This window comes from Homo sapiens, chromosome 12 (assembly GCF_000001405.40).
Source record: "Homo sapiens chromosome 12, GRCh38.p14 Primary Assembly".
NCBI lineage: Eukaryota > Metazoa > Chordata > Mammalia > Primates > Hominidae > Homo > Homo sapiens.
Genome location: NC_000012.12, coordinates 28,062,365 through 28,090,123, shown reverse-complemented (window position 1 = coordinate 28,090,123; position 27,759 = coordinate 28,062,365). Strand labels below are relative to the sequence as shown.

The 27,759-nt window shown below is 36.9% G+C and overlaps 1 long non-coding RNA gene across 2 annotated transcripts in view; it reads left to right on the top strand.

The window, feature by feature from the left end:
• The window catches only part of LOC105369710 (uncharacterized), a 66,878-nt gene extending 39,451 nt beyond the window's left edge, over positions 1-27,427 (top strand). The window contains exon 3 of one of the 2 annotated variants that reach the window (XR_931461.3): positions 26,237-27,427. This is a non-coding gene — a long non-coding RNA (uncharacterized LOC105369710). Of the gene's footprint in view, positions 1-1,268; positions 12,151-26,236 lie in introns of those variants that run through there. The other variant, XR_931462.3, reaches the window with a different exon arrangement.
• The last annotated feature ends 332 nt before the right edge of the window (positions 27,428-27,759 follow it).

The window sequence follows — 27,759 nt, the reverse complement described above, 5'->3', positions numbered from 1 at the left end:
TATGTTTTTCCAAATTATGAGGCACTGTGCCCAAGACAGGCAGATAGAAAGGGTACATTAGACAAAACCAAATGTACCAGTCACTCAAAGCAAGTGACAAGAGAAGAGCAATTTCATTTTTATTTTTCCACTCACATAGAAAGGCAGTGTGGCATAAGGGAAGAGCCAGGTTTCGGTCCTGTTTCTGCTGCTCAAGTTCCATGTCATTAGGAAAAAAAAAAAAAACAACTGAATTACTTTTTGTCTTACTTTCCTCATTTATAAATAGTAAGCTGGACTCTAAAAATCTGTTTGAATTCTTGGGAATTTAATTATTATCACTCAAATATGGGAGATTTGAACATGAAAACAAAGAATGTGAAGAATAGAGATTGAAAGACAACTGGAAAAGTAAGCATCGCCAATCTGCAGATGAGCGCTTCCTTCCTCTTTGTAATTTGATAGTCTTCAGGAAACTGTCTGGTTCCCAAGGGGAGAGGAATGAGGGTGTGTGCAGGGGAAGTCACACAGGCAACTTAAATGTTTTCCCAGAACCCATGGATAGTCCATGCACTTCGATTTGTGCGATGCAGTCTCTCTAGAGAATATATATATATATTTATAATGTTCTCTAACTTTGTGTGACCTCACATATTTAAAATTCCTGTATCAATTTGACTCACTGCCACATTTCCTTCTGTGGGGAAGAGGAAGCTACAGACCTCAAATGGCTTTTACATTGCCGGCATGACAAGTTCCCTGTACATATGGAATAGCAGATGCCTATGTATATATATATATATTCCTTTTCAGTGCGTACATAAATATTAAATTCTCTATTTCTCTAGCACCTAGAAAAATTCAGAAACTTAAGGTTGATTCAAAAATCAAACCAATATTAAACTAATATTTTGTAATTGAGTAACTCTACCTGTGCTGATACTGATTCTGGTGGGCACTTATAGCTCTCTGGTTGCCAGGGACATCTTACCAGGAGTGTACTAAAAAATAAAATAATGCACTGGCTTTGCAGTATGAAAGCAGCGTCCATAAACCACAATATCTCTCTGTGAGGAAATAGACTTCCTGTCTGCTATTTTTTTATGTGCCCAATTAAGTGCAGATTTTTGGCTGCATGAGCAACATAACTGCAGCATTTTTCCAGAAAAACCAAGAAATGAACTAAAAACTAAAGAAAAGTCTTATAAGAAGATGGTCTGATAAGTGCTGTGAGATAAAATTTTTTTTCTCATTTTATACCTGATACCTTCCAACCTGGACGTGACCAGTCTCAAGCTTAGCTACTTTAGATCACATTTCTAATGCTCTGGCAGCTCCTCACCCCAGAGGGATTTTCACTGAGTAAGGTGAGTACATTTCAAGGCCTTATATGGAATAAAATAGCAGGGTATGAAGGCGGGGTGGGTGATTCAGTGAGTAGGGTGTCTGAGAATTAAAAATCAAAGTTAACTGAGATTCTTTGATGGAAAAATAGGGGCTAGATAACCTGGTTCAAAAGAAATAAGAACCTGCCTAAAACCTAGTTGCCACAATAAAATCAAACCTGAACATGTGAGGTCTGAAAAAGTTCATAGATTTTAACTTTAGTACTGAGTTAAACACACCTGTGTACTTTCTGGCTTAAGTCAGAAGCAGAAAACTAGAATCCTGTGAGAAACACTCATTTGGAAGACAGGACAAGTTAAGTGCCCAAGCTTCACTGATACTCTCTCTGCTACCTCAGAGAGTGCAGCTCCTTCAAATATACACTCCTCAAATCTGGATAAAAGCTTCGGTGGGTCCCACTAGGTCAATCTTTTCCTGTAAGTAGTCATCAAAAAAAAGTACCTCGGTGCTAGAGTTGGAGTCAGCACCAGTCTTGAAGACATAAACAGTCTTGACAGCACCTAGAATAAACATGTGCTTGTCTGTATCATAGAAGGACAACAGATACATTTTAAGGGGAAAGCCCAAATCAGCTGGAAATACCTTTGCTCTGATGTGAGGGCTTGAATCCTCCCCTAGAACACAGGTAAATAGATTTAATATCTTCTGAGTTTTTGGCTTCTTTACTCTGGATTACCAAATTTTGGAATTGCTATTAAGAATGAAGATACAGAACCCATCAAGGTTTAATTGCTTAGTCTTTCTGCCCTGGGTAAAATGTAGGTAAGATTTTCTTCTACGTCTCTCCCAATCTAGTCCTTTGACCAGTTCTAACTCAGTGAAATACCCCTAAAGCTTTACTGTTCGTTTGGTCAAGCTACTTTTCTTCTACCTTCATTTTCCTCATCCGTTAAATGTGTTTGGTAATGTATACTGTATATACTTTATACTCCTGGGATGATAGCAAATCAGATAATATAGCTAAAAATGAAGTCTACAAAAAAAATGAGTCTTTGCATGTGTAAAATTCAGCCTCCTCATGGTAAATCCAAACCACAATTGTTGTTTTCAAAATAAAGATTATAAATAGAAAGCAAAATAAAAACACATGCCTCAGTGTAGACTGGTATGAGAATTTTAAGGCATGCATAGGTTCAATGGAAATGCTGACTTATCAGAAGCAGGGAAAAAAAGCCCAGTGCCTGAGCCATAGTGTCAATAGCTAGGCTTATGTTTATAATTAATGGGTTGCGGCAATTCTGATAACATTATTGCATGTTTATAGATGAATGTATTTTGCTCTACCTCTTGTCATTTGAAGTTTCAATATAAGCCCTGGTTTGAGTCCTAGTTTGAAATGTAAATGATATTGGACATGAAATAAGCTTCTTAAACCCGCATCACACCCTCTCAGGAGTCTACATGCCTTGTGAACCACTACACTGCTGTTCAAAAAGTGCCCTTCTAATGAGGCCAATTCTGACTAATGCATATTCCAAGAATAATACTTGACCAAAATTGAATGCAATTCTCGTGTACTTATTATAATTTTCTATGACAGAGAGCAGAGGCTAAATTCGGTGAAAGTATTGTTTTTCTTCTAAGCTTGGGTCTGCCAAAATTTGTTTTTATTCCCCTCCCTAATCCCCCCGCCCCCCCGCAGTTATTCCTTCTGGAATGATGTGTTGATCATGACCAACTGGGAAACTTGCTGGCATCTGTATTGTGCCCGTTTTCACCACTTTCCTTTGCCCCTTAGATAGGTTTTTGGTACAGAACGGAAATATTCCCAAGTGGAAGAATCATTAACAACCACAATGTCAAGAGCAGCCTTGAAAGGAGGCATCTGCTATTCCATATGTACAGGGAACTTGTCATGCCGGCAATGTAAAAGCCATTTGAGGTCTGTAGTTTCCTCTTCCCCACAGAAGGAAATGTGGCAGTGAGTCAAATTGATACAGGAATTTTGAATATGTGTGGTCACACGAAGTTACAGAAGATTATAAATTCAGCATTAGAAACCGAAAGAAAAAAAAAGACAAGCCACAGGTAGTATTCTCATATTATATTTGCTTGAGCTGTCAGAACAAAATACTAGAGAGAAATATTTTTATGACATGGAGACGGATCTGCTTGCCAAAATTATTTTCCACTAACTTAAAGCTATGTATCACTGTGCAAATCTAAACACTCCTATCCTTGTAGCATCAACCATTCATCTTATTACTGGCTAAAGAATGCCCATCTCAAATAAACAAGTGTACAAGGTAGTGAGGTACAGGGTGTGAGGCACCAGAGGAGGAAGGCGCCCGCCTTCAGTGGGATGGATGACATGTGTTCAAAGATCTTGAGTAGCTTTAACTTGACGGCAAGGGCTACAGTCTAGGCTCCAAATATATAGTACACTTCACTCTGTGTTTGTTTGTTAAGAAGTGAGAATTGATCACCAAGTTCAGTGGGAACTGTTGTATGGGGATTCAGTAGGCTTGTATTTTTTTCTCCAAAGCTCACTGCATGTTTTTTCTTGCCTTTCCTGTGACCCTTACTTAGCCATGTCTCCAGATGATCTCCTAGAGCAAATCTTTAAATTTTAAAAACATCCTTGTGAAGTTATGTAGACATTACCATATGCTGAACCTATCATTACTGTTGGACTTTGCTTCCCAGACACGGAGAATAAAGCAGGTGTCTACTTCTTCCTCTTTTGTGGTGTCTTCCCATTTAAATGGCTTATTGATGCAAGTACTGCAGCACAAATGAATGCTGATGCCAGCTCTGCCCATGTACATGCCCACAGAAGAAGCACTGAAGGGATAGCAAGAATGCATCACACACTCCTCATGACTACTGACCCACACTCCTTGTCCTGGTTACCTTAAGAAGTCTCTGTGATCCACTCAGGATTCAGGGCACAAGCAGTATCATGGGCCACTCAGACCTATAGCACCCAGGACACCAGGACAGAATATTCAGAGAGTCCCTTCAAACATGGAGACTATCTTGGCAGTAGTGTTGGAGAATGGTGCCTGTGGTCCACAAATGTTTATCAATGAGGGGAGGCTGATGACAACTGATCTTTATTAAGGGACTTATATCTCACAAGGTGCTTTCACATCAATGATTTAATTTCCACAATTTATCTGGGGTGTAGTTTTTTTTATTATTCAAATGGGAAAACTGGGCAGTGAGTAGTTCACTCATCCAACTAATATTTATTGAGGGCTTGCTATGGACCTCTGTTCTAGGCACTAGGGGTAAAAGAGTAAACAGAACAGACAAATTTCCTTCTCAGGTCACTTGTATTCTAGTTGATGCAGAGAAGGGAGACAGACAATAGACGAACACACAGGTGAAGTCTACAGTCTGTCAGATGGAGATACTGCAATGGAGGGCAATGATTCCCAGTGGGGAATAGGGAAGAGTTTCCATTGTAAATAAGGCAGTCAGAAAGTGCCTTGTTGAAAAGGTGACCCTTGAGTAGATAGCTATAGAAGCTAAAAGAGCTAATCAGACGGACACTCAGAAGCAGCATCCTAGAGGCCCCCTGAAGTGCCAAGCATTACTGCTTGAGTTAGTGAATAGCGGAGTCACCCCCTGATGGATTTTAGGGAAATTTCAATGGAAGGAAACTGGGAAAAGATATTTACCAAAGGAGACAAAGGGATTTCACTACTCACACCCTAGTTTCAGTGTGAGCCAGTTTGATATCAGCTCTAACAAGAAACCAAGGCTGAGCCTGCATGGAGGAGTAATGTGATTGGGTTTGATCTGCCTGAAGTATTGAGAATAGACTCTAGAGAGGCAAGGGTGAAAATATGGAGACCAGTTAGGTGGCCACTGCAGCAATCTAGTGAGAGGTGATGGATCTGGTGTGAGAGAGGAAGACCATGTGAAGCATTACATGAGGAACTGAAAGATTGGAGTTGCAATCAACTGAGATAGGAAAGACTGGAGGTGAAGCAGGATTGGAAAACAAGATCAAAAATTTGATTTTAGACATGTTAAGTTTGAGCTGAGTTAAGTTTATTGACTTAAATGCACCAATACAACAGCCCTGTGAGCTAAGTACTGTGTTACTATCTTCAATTTTTAGTTGAGATAACTTGGCTCAGAGAGTTGTGATGACTTACCCGTAGTCACACAGCAAGCAGATAGTACATCAAGGACTCAAGCAAGATTTTTCAATCTGAGTTGAATGCTTTTCCTAGGACCCCACAGATGAGTACCAAACAGTGCTACCGAAGTAGATAACTGATGAGAATTTCTTTTTCTGTGACTCACTCTAAGGCAGGATTTAAATCAAAACTTTTAAAGTCTAAGATTTAGAGAATCTGCTGTAAAAGGGGAGAAGAGTTTAATTTTATATCCACTTGAGAAACCAAAGTTTTTTTCTTTCACCCTTAAAAAATAAAACAAAACCGAGGTGAGCCTAAGGCCAGCATGCTGATTGCATCAGAGAGACGAAGATGAAATGAGGAGAGAGGAAAACGGGCATGAGCCCTAAATCAGCACGTTAAAGGGGCTGGCCTGGGAGGTTTGTATTATCAGACGTTAGTCAGAGAGGGACTTTCTTTTGCTGGCTTAGAAGAAAACTGAAATAACACATTAATTTTAGGTCCTTTGATATTTTTTCCTGGAGATGTTTTGTTTTGATACATCCAACAACAGCCAAAGAGAAAGCCTCAGAAGACAGACATAATAAAAACAGCTGATGATCCCTAGTCACTAAGCATAAGTTCCACTGTCTTAGTCTTGCCCAGCCCAAATCAGCAGCTCACTAAGAAGCTACAGGACATCCTGGAGGATTTAAAGAGCAAGCCTCAATGTTTCAAAGTTCCAGCATCAGGACTTCTTCCTTCAGTTAATGGCTTTGAGAACTGTTAAAATTCAGATGTTTCTGAGAAGGATAATGTTTTAATTAATAAAGAGATCACTGAGTGTGTTGGAGGGATTTACTAACAGAAAACTAAATGGCTCAGCATCGAAAGCTCTTTCATTTTTGGGCAGAGGGACGGCTGGCTTCCAGTAGTTTATAAACCAGGGTACCATTGTTCGGGTAAAGAAATGAGAGGGAAAACTGGAATGTGTACTTACTCATTCAACCATCATTTATTGTGTAAAAATAGTGACTGATACGGTTTGGCTTTGTGTCCCCACCCAAATCTCATCTTGAATTGTAATTCCCACACCTGGTGGGAGGTGATTGGATCATGAGGTGGTTTTCCCCATGCTGTTCTCCTGATGGTGAGTGAGTTCTCACAAGATCTGATGGTTTAAAAGTGTTTGTCAGTTCCCCCCTTTCTCTCTCCTGCCACCAGGTAAGATATGCCTTGCTTTCTCCTCACCTTGCACCATGACTATAAGTTTCCTGAGGACTCCCCAGCCATGCAGAACTGTGAGCCAATTAAACCTCTTTCCTTTATAAATTACCCAGTCTCAGGCAGTTCCTTATACCAGTGTGAGAGCAAACTAATACAGTGACATAACTATAAAAATTGGGACCTGGAAGAAAGAGTTGAGAGATGCTATAAGTGAAGTACATTTTTCATCTTTTATATTGCAGAGTCAACGATATTGTATAAAACTGACAAATCAGTGAAAATGAAAACAATGACTAGAATGACTAAAAACAGAAATTGCTGGGGGGTTTTGTTTTTTTGTTTTTCTCCCTCTGTTGCCCAGACTGGAGCACGGTGGTGCGATCATGGTTCACTGCAGCCTCGAACTCCTGGCCTCAAGTGATCCTTCTGTCTCAACCTCCCAAAGTGTTGGGATTATAAGCATGAGGCACTGTTTCCTGTCTTAAAAACAGGAATTGTTTAAGGTGGTTTTGGGAGCACATGGAAATCAGGAGGGGGTTAAGGAAGGATGGATAAAATATCTTGCATGTTATGCTCTTCTGTACTGCTTGCCTTTTTTAAAAAAAATGTACGTATGTATATTTCATGTAAAAGTTTGAACTGAATAAGTACATTAATATTTTATTTATGTTAACAAGGCTGTGGGAATAAATGGTGAATAAGACACACTTGTTTTCTGCTATCATAGAAGCTTAAGAACTGAACACTCTGAAGCAGAGGAAGTGTTAAAAAAAATCTGAGGTAAGGTACAACAAAGGAAAAACTGAAGTAGGATAAAAAGAGGGAAACTTGGAGCTTGTTCCTGCTAGTGCCTCATCCCTCTGTCTCTGATTAAGTTAAAATGAAGAAAGGACATGCTATATTCCAATTGGTAGACATTTTGCAGTTGTGCAAAGGCAAGCTATGCCTGGCCCTACCATATTCCTTACCATACTCCTCCTACTTCCTTTTCTTTTTCCTGAAAAGAGCAACTTTGTAGATCCTTTTTTCAGTAGGAATTGATCCACCCACAGAAGAAGATGTGTAGGATGAGTGGGAAACAGGCACAGGAGAGGAACTCAGTTCTTTCTTACATTCATTTCCCTTGGGATTCTGCAACTCTGCCCTGGCTGTATACTTGCTTCCCAGACTCCTCAACTGAATCATAAGGAAGACGTTTCCAAAAATAAATTGCCAGAAGCAAAGGGGTTAATAAATTTAAATATGCTTAAGGTGAATCATTCACAGAACTTCAGACTTCAAACATGGAATCATTAAAACTATTAGTGTTAACTCCAAGTTCTGTTTCTCAAAAGCTGGGGATGTCAGGCTACTTCTGTTTTAATAACTCTGGCAACTCTTTCTTCACATAATTAGTTTCAGTGTATCAAGACTTTTTTTCTTAGCCCATATTGAAGGATTCCTGAAATGGTTAGTTCCTTAGAAAAAAACGTTAAAACTCAATGGCTCAAAGTCACTACCAACCCAGGAGAATCAGCATAATTTTACAATTAGAACTCAGGCTTTTTACTGACAGTAACACTAGTTTACAATTGCACTCATGCATTCATGGTCTGCAATCAACAAAATTTAATTCGTGTCTATTGTGTGACAAAATTACAATAGGTGTAGATACTAGGATGAAATAACAAGTCCTTGCTCTTAAGAACTTGTGAATTGTGAACTTGTAAAATCAAAATAAAGCATAATAAATGCCTTAATAAAGCTGTAATAGAATAATATTTTTGTTTCTTTCCTATTAAGTAAGCTTATCAGCATAGTTTCCCATCAATCTTTATGTATTAGGAAGAGGAGAATGATAGATGCTACTGAAGGGGATTAAAGGGTGCTTCTTTGAAATACGCCACTTTGGTATAAGGATTATTCTGAGCTGGAGTTAGTTGAGAAAAACTGATGCAGGAAAAGCTTTCAACCCTCCCCTTTCAGTATAAAAGCAGGGGACAAATTTTCATTTATAAAAGTGTCTCCCTCTCCCATACCAGGAAGAGGAAGAGGACTCACATCAGTGGAGAAGGCACCAGTTTGAGTACGTAGAGTATGCATAACAAACCCTACTGAACAACCCTTATCTTCCACTCTTTCTCCCCATGTATTTACCTTTCCACAATTTACTGGCCCTAGAAGCCAAACCCTCTCCCTTCCTTTGTCTGGTTTCTTCTCCAGAATGTATTGATTTGTTAAAATGACATATAAACTCATTGGTCTAACCCCTTCTTTGAGTCTTTACCTCTTTTCCATGAAGGCCTCTGTATAGACATAATCAACTCTTCTGTTAATCTGTCATTTGTCGGTTTAATTTGAAGGACCCTAGTTGCCGAGCCTAGGAGAAAAAGTTGTTCTTCCCTTAAGCCACCTATAGATGGATATGATGTAAGAAAAGTCCATTTTATAGAGGAAAACAAAGTAGAAATCCAGTATCATCCAGCTTGCAGGATTATGAGAAGAAATGATGATGAAAATTGAAGAGTTCAAACTCATATAATTGCATTTCACCACTCCCTCTCACCTTGAAAAAGAAGCTTGGTTAGGGTGGGTGTATTCATCTGTTTTGCGTTGATATAAAGGAATACCTAAGACAGGATAATTTGTAAGGAAAAGGGGTTTATTTGGTTCATGGTTCTGCAGGTTGTACAAGAAGCATGATGCCAGCATCTGCTTCCAGTGGGGGCTTTGGGGAAGGCTTAGGGGAGCCAGTATCACATGGCAAGTGGAAGAAAGCAAGAGAGACAGGAGGAGGTGCAAGGCTCCTTTTAACAATCAAATATTTTGGTAACTAATAAGGTGAGAATTCATTCATTACTATGAGGGCAGCACCAACTTGTTCATGAAGGACCAGCCCCCATTGCCCAAACACCTCCTACTAGGCCCCACCTCCAACAATGGGGATGAAATTTCAACATGAGATTTGGAGGGGACAGTTATTCAAACCATATCCATGAGGTACATAGAAATATCACTATAGGTATAAACACATCAGAGATAAAGATAGCCTGGAGATGTTCCATGCCTCTAGTAGAAGCCAGCATTCAGCCTGATATACTGCCAATAATTTATATCGTAATTATTCTTTCTCAAAAGGACTATAGGCATTTATCATCATGACTGTGCATTGAAGAAATGAAAGTAACCAGATTTAGTGGAAATTATTGGACACTGATTGTGAACTCACACTAATTCCTGAGACTCAAAGTCACTGTAGCTCAACAGTCAGAGTAGGCAGTAATGGAGTTTGGGTGATCAATGTAATTTTGGACCAGAGCTGTCTCACTATAGACCAATGGAGCTCCAATACTATCTCATGTTTATTTTCAAATTCCAGAAGGTATCATTGAAATATACATACTCAACAACTGGCAGACTCCCTATATTGGTTTTTTGACCTATGGAATAAGAACTATTGTGATAAGAAAGAACAAGTGGAAATCCCCCAAATCTCCTCCACCTACCAAAATATTAAACCCAAAGTAATACAACAGTCCTGAAAGGACTATAGAGATTAATGACATAATCAAGGAATTAAATGATGGAGAAGTGGTGATACCTAACACAGCCCTGTTCAAATAACCTTTTAATTCTGAGCATAAGACAGACAGATTCTGGAAAGTGACAGTGTATGATCATAAATTCAATAAGATGGTGAGTCAAATCACAGTTGCTCTTACAGATGACAGATGTGGTTTTTTTACTGGAACAAATCAACACATCTCTGCTGGTACCTTGCATGGTTATTAATCTAGTAAATGTTTTGTGGTTGTTATTTAGCCTGTTAGTAAAAACCACCAAAAGCTTTGTGCTTTCAACTTGAAGGAGCACCAATAGACATTCACTATTTTACCACTGTTCAAGGTTATATTAACTCTCAATATCCAATCTTAATCCAAAGGACGTTGGTCGTATCTCCATTCCACAGAACAAACGCTGTGCAAATACACTGAGGATATCATGCTGATTGAATGTGTTGAGTAAAATACAGTAATTACTCAAGAAACCTTGGTAAGATATATACATACTAGAAGATGGGGCATAAATCCTACAAAAATTCAAGGGCCTATGACAAAGTAATACACACCAGATTTACCCTTCTACCACAAGCAGTTGTAAAACTGGACACCATTTTTATTCAGAAATGTACTGGAGGTTCTAGTCAGTGCAAAAAGGCAAGAAAAATGAATTAAAGCCTTAAATATTAGAAAGGAAGTGGTAAAAAGTATTTGAATGATGGTATATGTAGAAATCACAAGGAATTTTTAAAAGTTACCTTGCTAGAATAATTTCAAATGCTGAATTAATAAACTAAATTAATAAATTAACAAACTAATTATATTACATTTGTGGTCCATACAGTATAATAATACTAAGCAATGAAAAGTGGTGAACTACGGATAAAAGCAACAAGGAAGATTCTGAAAACATGATGGGTGTAAGAAGTCACTTACAAAACAGCATAGTGTATGATTCCACAAATGTGAAATTCTAAAATGTGGGAAATATAGTTTGTAGTGACTGAAAGACTACAGTTGTCTCAGCCCAAGAGTGGGGAATTATCAAGTGCAAAGGAAAAGAAGAGAACTTTTTAGGGTGATAGAAATGTTTTATATCTTGACTGTGGTGGTAGTTACTCAAGTGTATATATTTGGCAAAAGTCACCAAACTGTAGACTAAAATGGGTGTATTTTATTGTATTTAATCATACTTCAATTATGTTGCTTTTTATAAATCTAAACCTATTGTCTCAGGGAAATTTTTATTGATACAAGATGAAGAACAAGTTGTTCTCTCTGGTCCTTGTTATCACTAAAAGAGGTCCACTGCTGCCATTGCTTTAGGAGGAATGTTTAGTGACTTAAGTGATTTTCCAATTCTCCCTTCTGGACCAGAACTTTCCTAGCTGCTCTCACAATTGTGTGGAGTCTGATCCCTAGAATAAAGTTTTTATTTCATAATACTCTTAGTTGATCTGCTCCTCCACATGGTTCCTTAACAGGAATCATCCCCAAGTTACACACAGAAAAATATACAGAAGAGTCAAAGGGCTAGCTCTTTGTACTTCCAGGAACTAAACTTCAGATCTTACAACCATGGCCTGGAGAGCCTTCCATAACCCACTAGGTTAGTGTTTTCGGTTTGTTTGTTTGTGGTGAGAACATTTAACATGAGATCTGTCCTCTGGACAAAATTTTAAACGCACACTACAGTATTGTAAACTATAGGCACCAAGCTGTACAGCAGATCTCTAAAACTTACTTTGAAAAACTGAAACTATATACTTGCTGAACAACTACTCCCTATTTTTCTTTCCCTCCCAGTCCCTGGCAAACACCATTCTACTCTCTGTTTCCATGAGTTTAACTATTTTAGATACCCTGTATAAGTGAAATCAGGCAGTACTTGTCCTCCTGTGACTGGCTTATTTCACAGAGCTTATGTCCTCCAGCTTTATCCATGCTGTCACATATGACATGATTCCTTCTTTTTAAAGGCTGACTAATATTCCTTTGTATGTGTATACCACATTTTCTTTATTCATTCGTGTGTTGATGGACATTTAGGTTATTTCCATATCTTGGCTATTATGAATACTGTTGCAGTGAATCAGAAGGTACAGATATCTCTTCAAAGTTCTCATTTCAATTCTTTTAGATATATACCCAGAAGTATGATTCCTAGATTACATAGTAGTTCTAATTTAATTGTTTGAGGAATCTCTGTCCTATTTTCCATAGCAGCTGTACCCCATTTTACATTCCTACCAACAGTGTACAAGAGTTCCAATTTCTCAACATCTTCTCCAATACTTGTTATCTTTTGATTTTTGTTTTGTAATAGCCACCCTAACAGGTGTGACGTGATATCTTATTATAGTTTTGAGTTGCATTTCCCTGATGATTAGTGATGCTGCGTGTTTTGATATATATCTGTTGGACATTTGTATGTCTTCTGTAGAGAAACCTCTCATCAAATCCTTTGTCCATTATTAAAATTGGGTTATTTGCTTTTTTGACATTGAGTTGTAGGAGGTCCTTATTTGTTTTGGATATTAACCTCTTATCAGATATATAATTTACAGATATTTTTCTCCCATTCTGTAGGTTGCCTTTTGACCATTGATTCTTTTGCAGTGCAGAAGGTTTTTAGTTTGGTATAATGCCACTTACCTTTTTTTGCTTTTGTTGCTTGTGATTTTTGGTGTCATATCCAAGAAATATTGCTGAGCCCAATGTCATAAGATTTTGTCCTATGTTTTCTCCCAGGAGTTATTCTATTTCAGTTCTTACATTTAAATATGTAATTTTTTCCATTGATATTTGTGTTTGATGTGTGTTAAGGGTCAAGTTTCATTCTTTTGCATGTAGATATCTAGCTTTCCCAACAACGCTTGTTGAAGACACTTGTTGTTTCCCCATTGTGTACCCTTGGCACCCTTGTTAAAAAATTGTGTCAGTAACATACTATTTTAATTACTATAGCTTTGTAATATATTTTGAAATCAGGAAGTCTAATGCTTTCAGCTTTCTTCTTTTTTCTCAAGATTGCTTTGGCTATTTGGTGTCTTTTGTTGTTTCATGTAAATTTTAGGTATTTTTTCTGTAAAAAAAAAAAAATGCCATTGGAATTTTGAAAGGAATTGCACTGATTCTGTAGATCACTTTAGTTTATGAACATTTTAACAATATTAAGTCTTCCAATTCATGAACATGAAATATCTTTCCATTTATTTGTGTCTATTTACATTTCTTTCATCAATGATTTGTAGTTTTCAAGTATTTCACCTTCTTGGTTAAGTTTTCTTTTTTTTTTTTTTTTTTTTTGAGATGGAGTCTCACTCTGTCCCCCAGGCTGGAGTGCCGTGCTGCAATCTTGGCTCACTGCAAACTCCACCTCCCAGGTTCACACCATTCTCCTGCCTCAGCCTCCCCAGTAGTTGGGACTACAGGTGCCTGCCACCATGCCTGGCTAATTTTTCATTTTCATATTTTTAGTAGAGACAGGGTTTCACCATATTAGCCAGGATGGTCTCATACTCCTGACCTCATGATCCGCCCACCTCGGCCTCCCAAAGTGCTGGGATTACAGGCATGAGCCACCGGGCCTGGCCCTCCTTGGTTAAGTTTATTGCCAAATATTGTATTCTTTTTGATACTCTTGAAAATAGCATTGTTTTCTCAATTTCCCTTTTGGATAGTTCATTGTTAGTGTATAGAACACAATGGATTTTTGTATGTGTATTGTGTATCTTGTAATCTTACGATATTTGTTTATTAGTTCTAACAGTTTTTTTGTGGTGTTCTTAGGGTTTTCAACATATAAGATCATGTCATCAGCAACATAATTTTAATTCCTCCCTTCCTATTTGGATACTTTAATTTCTTTTTCTTGCCTAATTGCTCTGGCTAAAGTTCAGTACAATGTTGAATGGAAACAGTAAGAATGAGCATCCTAGCCTTGTGCCTGATCTTGGAGGGAAATCTTTCAGTTTTTCATCACTGAGTGTGATGTTAGCTGGGGGATTTTCATATACGGCCTTTGTTGTATTGGGGGATTTTCATACATGACCATTGTTGTATTGAGGCAAATCCCTTCTATACCTAATTTGTTGAGAGTTTTTATCACGAAAGGCTGTTGAATTTTGTCAAATGTTTTTTCTGCATCTAGTAAGATATGAATGTGACTTTTATTCTTCAGTCTGTTAGTATGGTTTATTACATTAATTGATTTGCATATATTAAGCCATCCGTGCATCCCAGGGATAAATCCCACATAGTCCTGCTGATCCTTTTAATGTGCTGTTGAATTCAGGTTGCTAGCATTTTGTTAAGGATTTTTGCATCCATGTGCCTTAGAGATATGGGCCTGTAGTTTCTTTTCTTATAGTGTCTTGGTCTCACTTTGGTATCAGCATCATGCTTGCTGCATAAAATGAGTATTGAGATGTTCCCTTCAGTTTTGGGAAGAGTTTAAGAAGCACTTGTGCTAATTCTTCTTTAAATGTTTGGTAGAATTCACCAGCTAAGCCATCTGGTCCTAGAGTTTTCTTTGTTGCATACAACCTACCAAAATTGAATCATGAAGGAACAGAAAACTTAACCAGACCAATAGCAAATAATAAGATTGAGTCAGTAATCAAAATCTTCACAACAAAGAAAAGCCCAGACCAGATGGCTTCATTACCAACTGTATTAGCTTTCTATTGCTGTGTACCAAATTACCACTAATTTTTGGCTTAAACCAACACAGTTTACTATCTCACACCTTCTATGGGTCAGGAATTTGGTATGTTTTAGCTGAGTTGTCTGCACAGAGTCTTATAAGCCTGAAATCAAGATGTCAGCTGGGACTCTGTTATCATCTGAGGCTCAAGGTCTTTTTGTGAGTTCAATGATTGTTAGCAGAATTCTATTCCTTGTGGTTGTAGGACTTTCTTACTGACTGTCAGCCAGAGGCTGATCTCACATTCTAGAGGCCGATCTCACATTCTAGAGGCCACCCTCGGTTTCCTGCCACATAGTCCTCTCTATAACATGGTAATTTACTTTTTCAAGGCCAGTAGGGAAAGCACTTCTCTTGCTTCAAATCTCTCATGCCAGTCTGTTAAGGAGTCTTAACTAATATAATATTATCACAGGAATATTTGCACACAATAGAATCTAACTAAGGAGGTGACTATCATATTCGCAGTCCCTGCTCACACTCACTTTATTATTTTAGCATGTAGTTCATCAGGAAATAATGCAAAAGATATGAGTATTAGAAGATGGATAGAATTTTGTTAGAGGAAGAGGAAAGGGAAAAAATGTCAAGCAAGAGAACAATATAAGGTATTAGATGTTTGTTGTAGGGCTGAGAGAAGAATGCAGTTGGCATATTAAAGCTGCAAGCCAAATGAAGTAGGGTGTTTATATGGAAGATCATGAGAAGCACAACTATAATTGGAGATTGCAGTCTGATCCCGAGAGCTTTTACTACTATCCCAAGAAATATGCTCTCCAACAGAAAGTCAGATAGGAAATGATGTATGGATTTTCAGTAGAGAGAATGATACAACAAAAATATATTTTAGGGTGATAAGATAAGACAAATGAATAAAATTTAGAAATAATTATTATAGCTATAAATCATCTGATTGAGGTATAAGGTGGCAGGTATTTAGCTAACTGTGGGAGTGGAAAAAAAGGAGAAATATGAGACCATTTAAGGAAAATATGAGGCAGTTTTGTCCCTTCTATATATAATCTTTTCCAACTCACATTGTCCTTGGATTTTATAACTTTGCTGACATCTACTTTTAGCTTTATATTCTAAGAATCAGTATCAGCTTATTGCCATATATGTGAATAATTAATAATAAAAATGCCTACCACTTATTGCAGGCTATTCAATTTTCACAACAACCCTATAAAATAGGTGGTATTTTTGTCTCCATGAGAAAACTAAAAAATAGGTTGAACAACTCACACAGCTAGTTAGCATAAAGTTCTAAATTGGATTCAGGTCCTTCTCTCTCCTAAACAGCATGATATACTGCCTCTGTAAATTATTAAGTTTACTGAGCCTCTGTACACAAAGTAGTGTAAAGGTTTGTTTTACTTATGATCACTGTTATTTAGCATTCTATTGTCTCAAGAAAAGTCTGATCCATAGAATGCCATCCAGAGGAGGGTCAAAGCATAAAGAAATATTTACTTACTAAATTGAGATTAAAAATAAAGATAATTATCCTAATAATTTAATTTTAAAATTGTTTTTAAAAATAGACATATTAAAATGTATGTCTTTATCATGTACAATATGATGCCTGAAGTATAAAATATTGTGGAATGGTTCAATCGAGCTAACTAACAAATGTGTTAGCACACCTAGTTTTTTTGTGGTGAGAACACTTAAAAGTCATTCTCAGAATTTTTTTAAGAATACAGTACATTAACTACAGTCATCCTGCTATACAATAGATCACTGGAACTTACTCCTGCTATCTAACTGTAAATATGTATTCTTTGACCAACATCTCCCCAACCCCCAATTACTTCAGCCTCTGGAAACCACCATTCTATTCTCTATTCTGTGAGGTCAGCTTTTTTAGATTCCACATGAGTGAGATCTTGCGGTATTTGTCTTTCTGTACCTAGCTTATTTCACTTAACACAATGTCCTCCAGACTCATCCATGTCATTGCAAATGGCAGAATTTTCCCCTTTTTTGGCTAAACAGTATTATATTATGTATATACGCCACATTTTTTAAATCCATTTATCTGCTGGTGGACACTTGAGTTGCTTCCATATCTTGGCTATTGTGAATAGTGCGGCAATAAACTTGGAAGTGTAGATGTCTCTTTAACATACTAATTTCATTTCCTTTGGATGTTCACCCAGTAGGAGTATTATTGGATCATACTTTTAATTTTTTCAGGGACCTCATGCTGTTCTCCATAATGACTATACTCATTTACATTCTCCAAAAAGGTGTGCAAGGGTTCTCTTTTCTCCACATATTTGCCAATGCTTGTTATCTTTAGATAATAGCCATTCTAACAGGGGTGAGATGATATCTCATGGTGGTTTCGATTTGCATTTCCCTAATGATTAGTAACGTTGAGCATTTTTTCATATACTTGTTGGCCATTTATATGTCTTCTTTTGAGAAATGTCTATTGAGGTCTTTTTCCTACTTTTTAATCACGTCATTTGTTTTCTTGCTGTTGAATTGTTTGAGTTGCTTATATATTTTGGATATTAACCCCTTATCAGATATATGGTGTACAAATATATTTTCTTATTCTGTAGGTTGCCTCTTCACTCTGTTGATTGTTTCCTTTGCAGAAGCTTTTGGTTCAACATAATCCCATTTGTTTATTTTTGTTTTTATTGCTTGTGATTTTGAGGTCATATCCAGAAATTCATTTCCCAGACCAATTTCATGGAGCTTTTCCCCTGTATTTTCTTCTGATAGTCTAATAGTGTTGGGCCTTCTGTCTATTCTGAGTTTACTTTTTATATGATGAAAGATAAAGGTCTAATTTCATTCCTCTGCATATAGATGTCTAGTTTTCCCAGCACTATTTATTGAAGAGATTGTCCTTTCCCCATTGTATTTTCTTGGCAACTTTGTCATAAATCAGTTGGCCATAGGTGCCTGGATTCATTTCTGGGATCTCTTTGCTGTTCCATTGGTCCATGTGTCCATTTTTATGCCAGCGTGTTATGCTGTTTTTGTTACAGTAGCTTTGGAGTGTATTTTGAAATCGGGTAGTGTGATGGCTCCAGATTTGTTACTTTTCCTCAAGATTACTTTGACCCTTCAGGGTCTTGTGTGGATCTGTACAAATTTTAGGATTGTTTTTTCTATTTTTTCAAAGAATGCCATTTTGATAGGAACTGCATTGAATCTGTAAATTGATTTGAGTACTATGGACATTTTAACAATATTAATTCTTCCAGTTTATGAACACGGTATATCTTTCCATGTATAAGTGTGTTCTTCAATTTCTTTCATCAGTGTTTTATTGTTTTCAGTGTGGAGAGATAGTTCACTTCCTTGGATACATTTATTTCTAAGTATTATATTTTCTTTTTAGCTATTGTAAATGGATTGTTTTCTTTATTTCTTTTTCAGATCGATCGCTGTTAGTATATTGAAATGCTAATCCTGCACCTTTACTGAATTTATTAGTTCTAACAGTTTTTTGGTGGAGTCTTTAGGGTTTTCAATATGTAAGGTCATGTCATCTGCAAATAGGAACAATTTAACTTCTTCCTTTCCAATCTGGATTTCTTTTATTTCTTTCTCTTGCCTAACTCTGCTGGTCAGGACTTTCAGTATGATGTTGAATAGAAGTGGAGAATGGGCATCCTTGTCTTGTTCCAGAAAAGCTGTAAACTTTTTCCCATTCAGTATGATGTTAGCAGTGGGTTTGTCATATATGTTCTGCATTATTCTGTGATACATTCCTTCTATGTCTAATTTGTTTTAAGTATTTTTATGAAGGGATGTTGAATTGTGTCGGATGTTTTTTTCTGCATCTATCAAAGTGATCATATATATGGTTTTCATCCTTTATTTTGTTAATGCGACTTATCACATTTATTGATTTGTGTATGTTGAACCATCCTTACATTCCTGGGATGATTCTAACTTAACCATGGTGAATAATCTTTTCAATGTGCAGTTGAATTCAGTTTGCTAGTATTTTGATGAGGATTTTTGTATCTCTGTTTATCAGGGATATTGGCCTGTAGTTTTGTAGTTGTTGCTGAATCTTTGTCTAGTGTTGGTATCGGGATAATGCTGGCCTTGTAATATGAGTTTAGAAGTAGTCTGTCCCTTTAATTTCTCTAAAGAGTTTGAAAAGAATTTGGTATTAGATCTTTTTTAAATTTTTGTAGAATTCAGCATTGAGGCCATCAGGTCCTGGGCTTTCGTTTGATGGGAGACTTTCTATTACTGATTCAATCTCCTTACTCATTATTGGTCTGTCTAGTTTTTCTATTTCTTTGTAATTCAATATTAGTAGGTTGTACAGAAATTTATCCACTTCTCCTAGGTTTTCTAATTTGCTGGCATTATTATTCATAATATTCTCTAATGATCCTTTTTATTTCTGTGGTATCAGTTGTAATGTATCTTTATTCATCTGTGATTTTATTTGAATCTTCTCTTCTTTTTTCTCAACCTAGCTAATGATTTTTCCATTTTATCTTTTAAAAAGCACTCTTGGCCAGGTGCAGTGGCTCACACCTGTAGTCCCAGCACTCTGGGAGCCCAAGGCAGGTGGATCACTTCAGCCCAGGAGTTTGAGACCAGCCTGGCCAACATGGCAAAACTTCATCTCTGCTAAAAATACAGAAAAATTAGACAAGCGTGGTGGCATGTGCCTGTAGTCCCAGCTACTCATGAGGCTGAGATGGGAGAATCACCTGAAGTCAAGGCTGCAATGAGCTGTGATCATGATCATGCCACTCCAGTCTGGGTGATGGGAGTGAGACCCAGTCTCAGAAAAATAAAAAATAAATAAAAATTTAAAAACCAACTCTTCATTTTGATATTTTCCATTATTTTCCTAGTCTCTATTTCATTTATTTCTGCTCTAATCTTTATTATTGCTTTCCTTCTACTAAATTTGGGCTTAGTTTTGTCTTATTTTTCTAGCTCCTTAAAATATAATGTTAGATTGGTTGAGAGCCTTCTTTTTGATATAGCTGTTTATTACTATAAACTTCCCTCTGAGAATTGCTTTTGCTATATCCTATGGGCTTTGTTGTGGTATATTTCAATTTTTATTTGTCTCAATAAATTTTATAATTTCCATGTATTTGTGACTTTTCCAAAATCCCCCTGTTATTTATTTCTAGTTTTATACTATTATATTTAGAAAAGATACTTGATATGATTTCAATCTTCATAAAATTTTATAAACTTATTTTGTGGCTGAACATATAATCTATTTTGGAGGAAGTTCCACATGCAGTGGAGAGCAATGTGTATTCTGCAGCTGTTGGATGAAATGTTTTGTATGTGACCATGATGTTCACTAGGCCTAAAATATAGTTTAAGTCTGATGTTTCTTTGTTGATTTTCTAAATAATTTATCCATTGCTGAAACAATAGGTGTTCGAGTTGCCTACTATAATTACTTTGCGATCTGTCTCTCTCTTCTGATCTATTAATATTTGCCTTATGTATTTAGATGCTCTCATGTTGGGTGCATATATCTTTACAATTGTTATAACCTCTAACTAAATTTACCCTTTTATCAAAACATAATGATCATTTTTGTCTCCTTTCACAATTTTGACTTAAATTCTATTTCATCTGATTTAAGTATAACTATTCTTGCCTTCTTTTGATTTGTGTTTTCATGGAATATCTTTTTCCATCCCTTCACTTTCAATTTACATGTGTCCTTACAAGTGAACTGAGTCTCATTCTCTTCTAGGCAAAAAATGGTTAGGTCTTTTAAAAAAAAATTGATTCAGCCACTCTTTTAATTGGAGAATTTAATCAAGTTACATTCAAGGTAATTATTGATAGGCAAGGACATACTCTTGCCATTTTGTTAACTGTTTTCTGGTTGTTTTGTAGATTCTTTATTCCTTTTTTCCTCTTTTATTATCTTTCTTTTTAGTTAAGTGATTTTCTCTGTAGTGTGTTTTGATTTCTTGCTTTTTATTTTTTGTGTATCTATTATAGGTTTTACTTTGCACTTACCATGAGGCTTACAAAAAACATCTTATAGTTATAACAGGTTACTTTAAGCTGATAAAAAGTTAACTTTGATTGCAAAAACAAAAACAAAACTCTACACTTCACTCTACCCCCACATTTTGACTCTGTTATGCCACAGTTTATAACATTTTATATTTTACAACCCTTGACAACTTACTGTCATCATTATTTTTAATAATTCTGTCCTTTAACTTTTATACTAAATATGTGATTTACATGCTATCATTAAAATATTAGACTATTCCAAATATTACCAGTGTACTTACTTTTACCAGTAAGTTTTACACTTTCATATGTTTTTGTGTTTCTCAATAGCATTTTTTTCTTTCAGTGTGAGGAACTCCCTTTAGCATTTCTTGTAAGATAGGTCTGGGGTGATAAATCTCCCAGCTTTTGTTTGTCTGAGAAAGTCTTTACCTGTCCTTCATTTCTGAAGGACAGCACTGCAGTATTTTTGGTTGGCAGAGTTGTCTTCTTTCAGTGCTTTGAATGTATCATCCCACTTCCTCTTGGCCTGTAAGATTTCTGTTGAGTGTCTACTGCTAAATACATTAACATTCTCTCATAAGTTATTTGCTTCCTTTCTCTTTCTGCTTTCAGAATCCTCTCTTTGTCTTTGATATTTGATGGTTTGATTATAATATGTGTTGGGGTAGTCTTATTTAGATTGAATTTGATTGGTGCCTGTTAACCTCCCTGTACCAGATATTTATATCTTTCTTCAGGTTTAGAAGGTTTTCTGCTATTATTTCCTTAAATAAGCTTTCTACTCCTTTGTCTTTCTCTATTGCCTCTTAAATTCCAAAGACAAATATTTGCTCCTTTGATGCTATCTCATAAATCCTGTAAGCTTTCTTTATTCTTTTTTTCTTTTTGCGCCTTTGATTGGATAATTTCAAATGTCCTGTCTTGAGCTCACCGATTCTTTCTTCTGCTTGATCAAGTCTCCATTGAATTTTTCTATTGAATTTTTCAGTTCAGTTGTTGTGTTTTATATCTCTAAGATTTCTATTTGGTTTTTAAAAATTGTTTCTATTTCTTTGTCAAACTTTGCATTTTGTTCATGAATTGTTTTCCAAATTGTATTTAATTTTCTATCTCTATCTTCACGTAGTTACCTGAATTTCTTTAAAGGGATTATTCTCAATTCTTTATCAGTCACTTCTTAGAGAGCCTTTATTCCTGGGTTCCTTACTAGAGCTTCATTTTTTTTTTTTTTTTTGGCGATGGTGTTATATTTCCCTGATTTGTCATAATTTTCTTGTGTCCTTAAATTGATGCCTGCATATTTAAAGAGGTGACCACCTCTTCCAGCCTTTGCAGCTGCTGTTTGGTGGTAATAGGCCTTTACTATTTAGTCTAGCCTGGGATTCTGTATGTGCTGGCTAACTGCAAACCCGAACAGGCAGGCCTTGGTGTGGGATTCTCTAGTTGAGCTGGGTCACTTCCTGTGTGGAGGATAAATGGTATTGCTAGCTGTGCTCTGTGGTCTGGTGAGACCACTGGCTGAACTCTACCATCAGGTGTAATTGGGCCAGGTTATGGGTTGTCTTTCCTGGCTGGGTGGTACTGTGTTTTGGAATCTCTGCTGTGTTGCCTGCGGCATGATGCTGTTGGCTAGTTTCTCTGCTGTGGTGCCTTCTTTGGTTGGAATGCAGAGCAGCTACCAAGATCCATGCACTGATTCTTATGGAGCCTTACCCACCTTCCGTGGCTCCAACTGACCCCAGGTGGTCCAGCCCTGCTGGCACTCCCAATATTTCTCACATGATGAGACAGGAGCAAGTCTCCAGCAAAGGGTCTCAGAACGGTACAGATGCTGAATGTTCACCTCCAATTCATCCCTCACACTGCAGAAGCTGTGGACCCAGGAGAATTTTCTGCATGTGGTGCCATGCCAGTCTGGAAAAGGGGGACTGCAGTCAAAGAAAACTGATTCTCTTACCATTCACTCATGGCATTTTTAGATTCTGTGGTCCAAAGAAGTGTATCAGCCTCACTCCTGAATTCTGGGATATTCAAGATGGAATTCTTGCCTGTGCATAATTGCTAATTGGATTTCTTTTGCGGGCAAGGAATGAAGCCAGAGAACTCCATGTTGCTGACATAACTCCCTGTTATTCCTAATGATTTTAACTTACAATATCTTAATTATATTACAGAAGTTTGTGAGAGGATGTTCACAAAATACCAAGCAAAATTCATGACTCATGGCTATTTCTCAATAAATATCAATTTGCTTTCTTTTTTTCATTCTCTTCTACTCATTACTCCTCCCCTACACTAATAAATTAAAATACAGGGATCAGTCAGTTTAATACTGTTTTAAGGAGGACTACATGTTATTTGGAGAGAAGGGCAATAAGTCCACCAAATTCACATGACCCCAAGAGGCTACAAGAAAGGAACCACAGGCAGATTGTATACTTTTTAAGAAAGAGAAGGGAATTGACAAAGATGAGGTCTGGGGGGAAAGAAAGCTTACGGAAAGAAAAGAAAATGCATGGGCTCATTGTCAATGTCTTTCATAGTTACCTTAGAGTATGAAACAATCTGTGGTTTGATTTATCCAGATAATTACATTGGTTCTGCATTTGACATATCAGAGGACTAAAAGTTGTGGTTCTGCTGCAGACCAAATGCCCTTTGGAAAGTGACTTTTCTCCCCATATGAACTGAATAGTGGCAATTCAGCCTCAACCACAGCTGAATGTGACCCCTCTGCTCTCCCACTAGCTAGCAAGTTCAAACTTAGCCTCTGGGCCTCATAAATCCAGGCATGTATCAGTTCATCTCCAAACACTTGGTATGTCTGCCCCATCAATTAAAAAGCACAAGGCAAGTGAGCCACTAGAAAGTTCAAGCATGATTAGGCAGCTACCGTGCATTTTCAAATCCACTTTCAACATCTCCATTATTTTAACTAAGACCTCTAGTTATTAGTCTTATTAAAAGAGAAGAAAGAAGAAGAAAAAGAAGACACAAACTTGCTTTCCAGACAGGTTAATACAAGCCCTTCCTCAGTGTTCTATTCTTGATTTAAGGAACATTCTCAGAGTGAGAGAAGAGTTTTGTGTTGTATGGAAAATTTGACTCAACCCAAAAACCCAGCCAACACCACAAAGTGGATTGGAGTCAAATCAGATAAATAGTAAAAGAAAAGAATACAAAATATCTTTGAGTGACAGTGTCAAAAAGGTTCAAAAGCTTATTAGAATCTGGTTCAAAATGCACAGACCACAAGTTAGCTTCATCCTATCAAGGTGCTTTTAGTTATTGATTAAGTGATTTTTTCATTCCTGTGCACACAAACATGTAATTAAATGTTCACAAACATATACATTCCTCTCGGTTTTGGTTTCTGTAACTACCAAAAATAATGTTTGAGAAATCTCCCAAACCTCCCAGTGTATTATTCATGTAACCTGGATATCTCATGAAAACAAAATGTACAAGACTGTAGTGCCAGTTAGCATGTGAAAATATCCGGCAACAGTGTGTTTTTACTTCTGTGATAAACTGTATTGTCTTTTTGTTATAATGGGAAAGGATTAGTAAAGCTTACCAAATAAACAGCAGCTTCCTTAGAGACATTGACCCTTGTATTTTACAAAACCAAGAAACCAATACTGAATAGAATATGGGGCTCTCTGGCAGACTAACGGAGGGCAACCTTCAAGGATCTGAGTCAGATGAGGATTTGGGCTAGTGATACATTTTGATACTTTCTATTTTAAGCACCCCAAAAGCTAGATGCTTATACACAGCTAATCCAATTTTTTCTAAAAATCTGTAGTCTGCAAAATTGTGTTCCTTTAGAACTTTTTGCCTGTTTTTGGCCTGGAAATGATAATATTTAAATAATACATCTTGAAATGCAGAGGTCCACCCAAAGGAAAAATAACATAAAAGAAAGTGAACCAGACACTTTCAGGCCTCAAAAAAGGTCTTACTCGGCTTAGCGAGTGCTTTGGGTGAAGGCTCAGAGGGTCGGGGGGCCAAAACAAGCCTGGTATTTTTCAAACAAAAATTTTACTGTATATTGTACAAGTAAAGGAAATGAGAAGAGATAAAAGCACACGCAGTTTAGAATTTAACTTTTTGGGGTGGAAACTTGAAAGCACTTAAGAAGTGGAATCTAGACATTTTCAAATACACGTCAGCTCTTGTGCTGTCTGAGCTTACATTACCTGTTTGAATTAAGATCAAGACCTGGGTTACCAAATAGTAATGCCCTTTTCAGCAAAGTCCACATTTGAATCAGCTTTTCTGTATCACTCTCTTGAGTAGCCTGCTTTCTTGAACACTGAAGTCTGGTCTGAGCTCCTGAAATCAACATCTCAATGCATTAATCCAGAAAACCTATAATTGATGCCGACACAGGGTTATCATCAGGTGATAAGCCTTCCACCTTACTTTCTTCCATCTTTCATAATGAGGAAGTTCTTGCTTCCAAGATAATTAAAGGACGGCTGATTTATAAGTGGGTTTGCTATGCCACTTTTTTCTTTATATGGTTTCTTTTCAGTTTCTCTTCTGTTAATAACTGGCTTAACACTTTTATATAATAAAAAGGTCAGATAGGCTCCACACAAAGCACCCATAACAGCTGGCAGCCTATCCCACTGCTATTAGCCGTCATTTAGCTGAGCAGAAATGTTGGAGCATGTAGGAACAAAGAGACAATGGAGCATTTCTAGAAGCACATCAGTGCCAGAGCAAAGAAAAAAAGAGGGGCCCTAAAAGGCAAAGTAGAAGGTGAGTCGAACTGCCTAGACACAACGGCAGGATGATTCCCTTTGAAGTAGGTAGCTGGCTTCCTTGCAATACCAGGAGATTATCCTGAAAAAAAATAATGCTTTGGTGGAGGTAAAACCATGCAGTTATGGAGGTCAGATCCAAGCAATGTGAAGAACAGACAAGCATGGCGTATCCACTCACTGCTATTTTCCAGAATCTATATACAGTTAACTAAGGCCTATAATGGTCCAATTAATTTTTAAGGAACCCAGTATGAAAGCAAAAACCATAGTCACTTGAAATGTATATACATGTTCTAGTTTCCCACGATTTTTATTATATAATATTTGGTTGAACTATAAGAAATTGCCAATATTTCAATATTTTGGGCCTACGGAAAAGGCAATTTCATATGGTTCTATTTATGTTTATAAATAGAATGGTGTAAATATTTTCTTTGGATTTGAAAATCAGTCTCATTCTGTGGATTTTTCAGATTTGGTGCATTTAAAAGCTGAACACTAAAATATTTGTGTTTCTCCTTTTCCTAGGGTATCTCCATCTCTTCCCCATTTTCATGGATATCAAGTGTTTCATAGATATCTGGCTCCACATGCCAAGTTGTGGGAAGATTTAACTCCCAACTTAATATGAAATCAAGGATGCAATTTCTGATTAAGCCAGTAAATTTTGCACAGGAAATACTCCTTGTTCTACAGCTACATCCTGTGTATCTCATGCTAGCCTTTGCCAGCAAATATTAGTCCTTGGTTTTAAGAAAGATTCAGGGGAAAAAATTGCTCAACTCTGGAAAAATAAAAACAAGAGTCCTCCTGGGGTCAGAGAAAATTGATTTGATTTATTCTGCAACAACTTCTTACTAGACAGCGGAGAGAAGAGTGCAAGAATCTCTGGGTCAGAAGACCTCACTTAATCTCTCAAGGTCTCAGTGCCCTTATGAGGAGTTGAACCACATGATTAATAAGTTTTTGACTCCTGTATTTATGATTTTTAACACTCATGGAATTGTTAGGGTGGCCTAATGGGTAAACATAAATCTTGCCACGTATAATCTGCCTGACTTTGCCCCAAACTTTTAAAAGCACATGAATATGAGCCAATAAATCTAAATTATAGTATACTGCACATTTGCTGTGAGAAATTTCCTATTATCACTGCCTTTATGTAAATGATTGCTCATAATGTTAGTAGACAAACCACTTAATAATTTCCAGGCCAGTGAACTTTTGCCCCACTTCAAAATAAAGTTGTTATTCTCCTTTCAATAGAAGCTTAGGATACGTCAAGCCTAATGAGAGTAAGTTAGTAGGAAAAAAAGGCTATGTCATCTGTAGAGGTGATAACAAGATCAGATCAAGTGGTTCCAAGTGTTTTATTTTCTACCACATGCCTTCATATGAGTTCATCTCAATGAATACTGTTTGAGTGGTCAGAGAGCTACCATAAAGATGCTCTATCTAAGACCGTATGAAGAATTTTTTTTAAGAATAAAGTTCATGGTAACTTTAAGGTAACATTCTCAGGGGGGAAAACATTTCCAAATATCTGTATTGCAAACTGCCAAGAACAGGGATCCAGTCTTGATCCCTCCGCTGATATGCTCTGGGACTGGAAACAAGTCAATTTCTCCCTCCCTCAAGGTCTTAAAATTAATGTTTTATCTGGATCACCTATGTTGTAGTAATCAGGGTTTCCCAAGAATAAAATGGAATTATATGGCATCTTAGATTCCTTCCAAAGGTGGTGTCACTGTTTCTTTCTCCTTAATTAGGTGATGATATTGCCAACATCTCCCCAAGGCATCATATTTATTCCAGCAAGTTCTTATTTAGAAAGCTCATATTACAATTATTCTGTACACTTTATCTGGATTGGCAAATTTAAGTCCCCATCCACTAATTTATGCTTTATTAAAACTGATTCAGTTGAGGGAGCATATCTGACAGTACTGCAACCAAATTCTGTAAAGGCAAACTACAAATTAAAGGCCATATCAAATCCCATGTATAAGAAGTAAATATGTATGTGTGGCTATATGAGTCTGTACATGTGT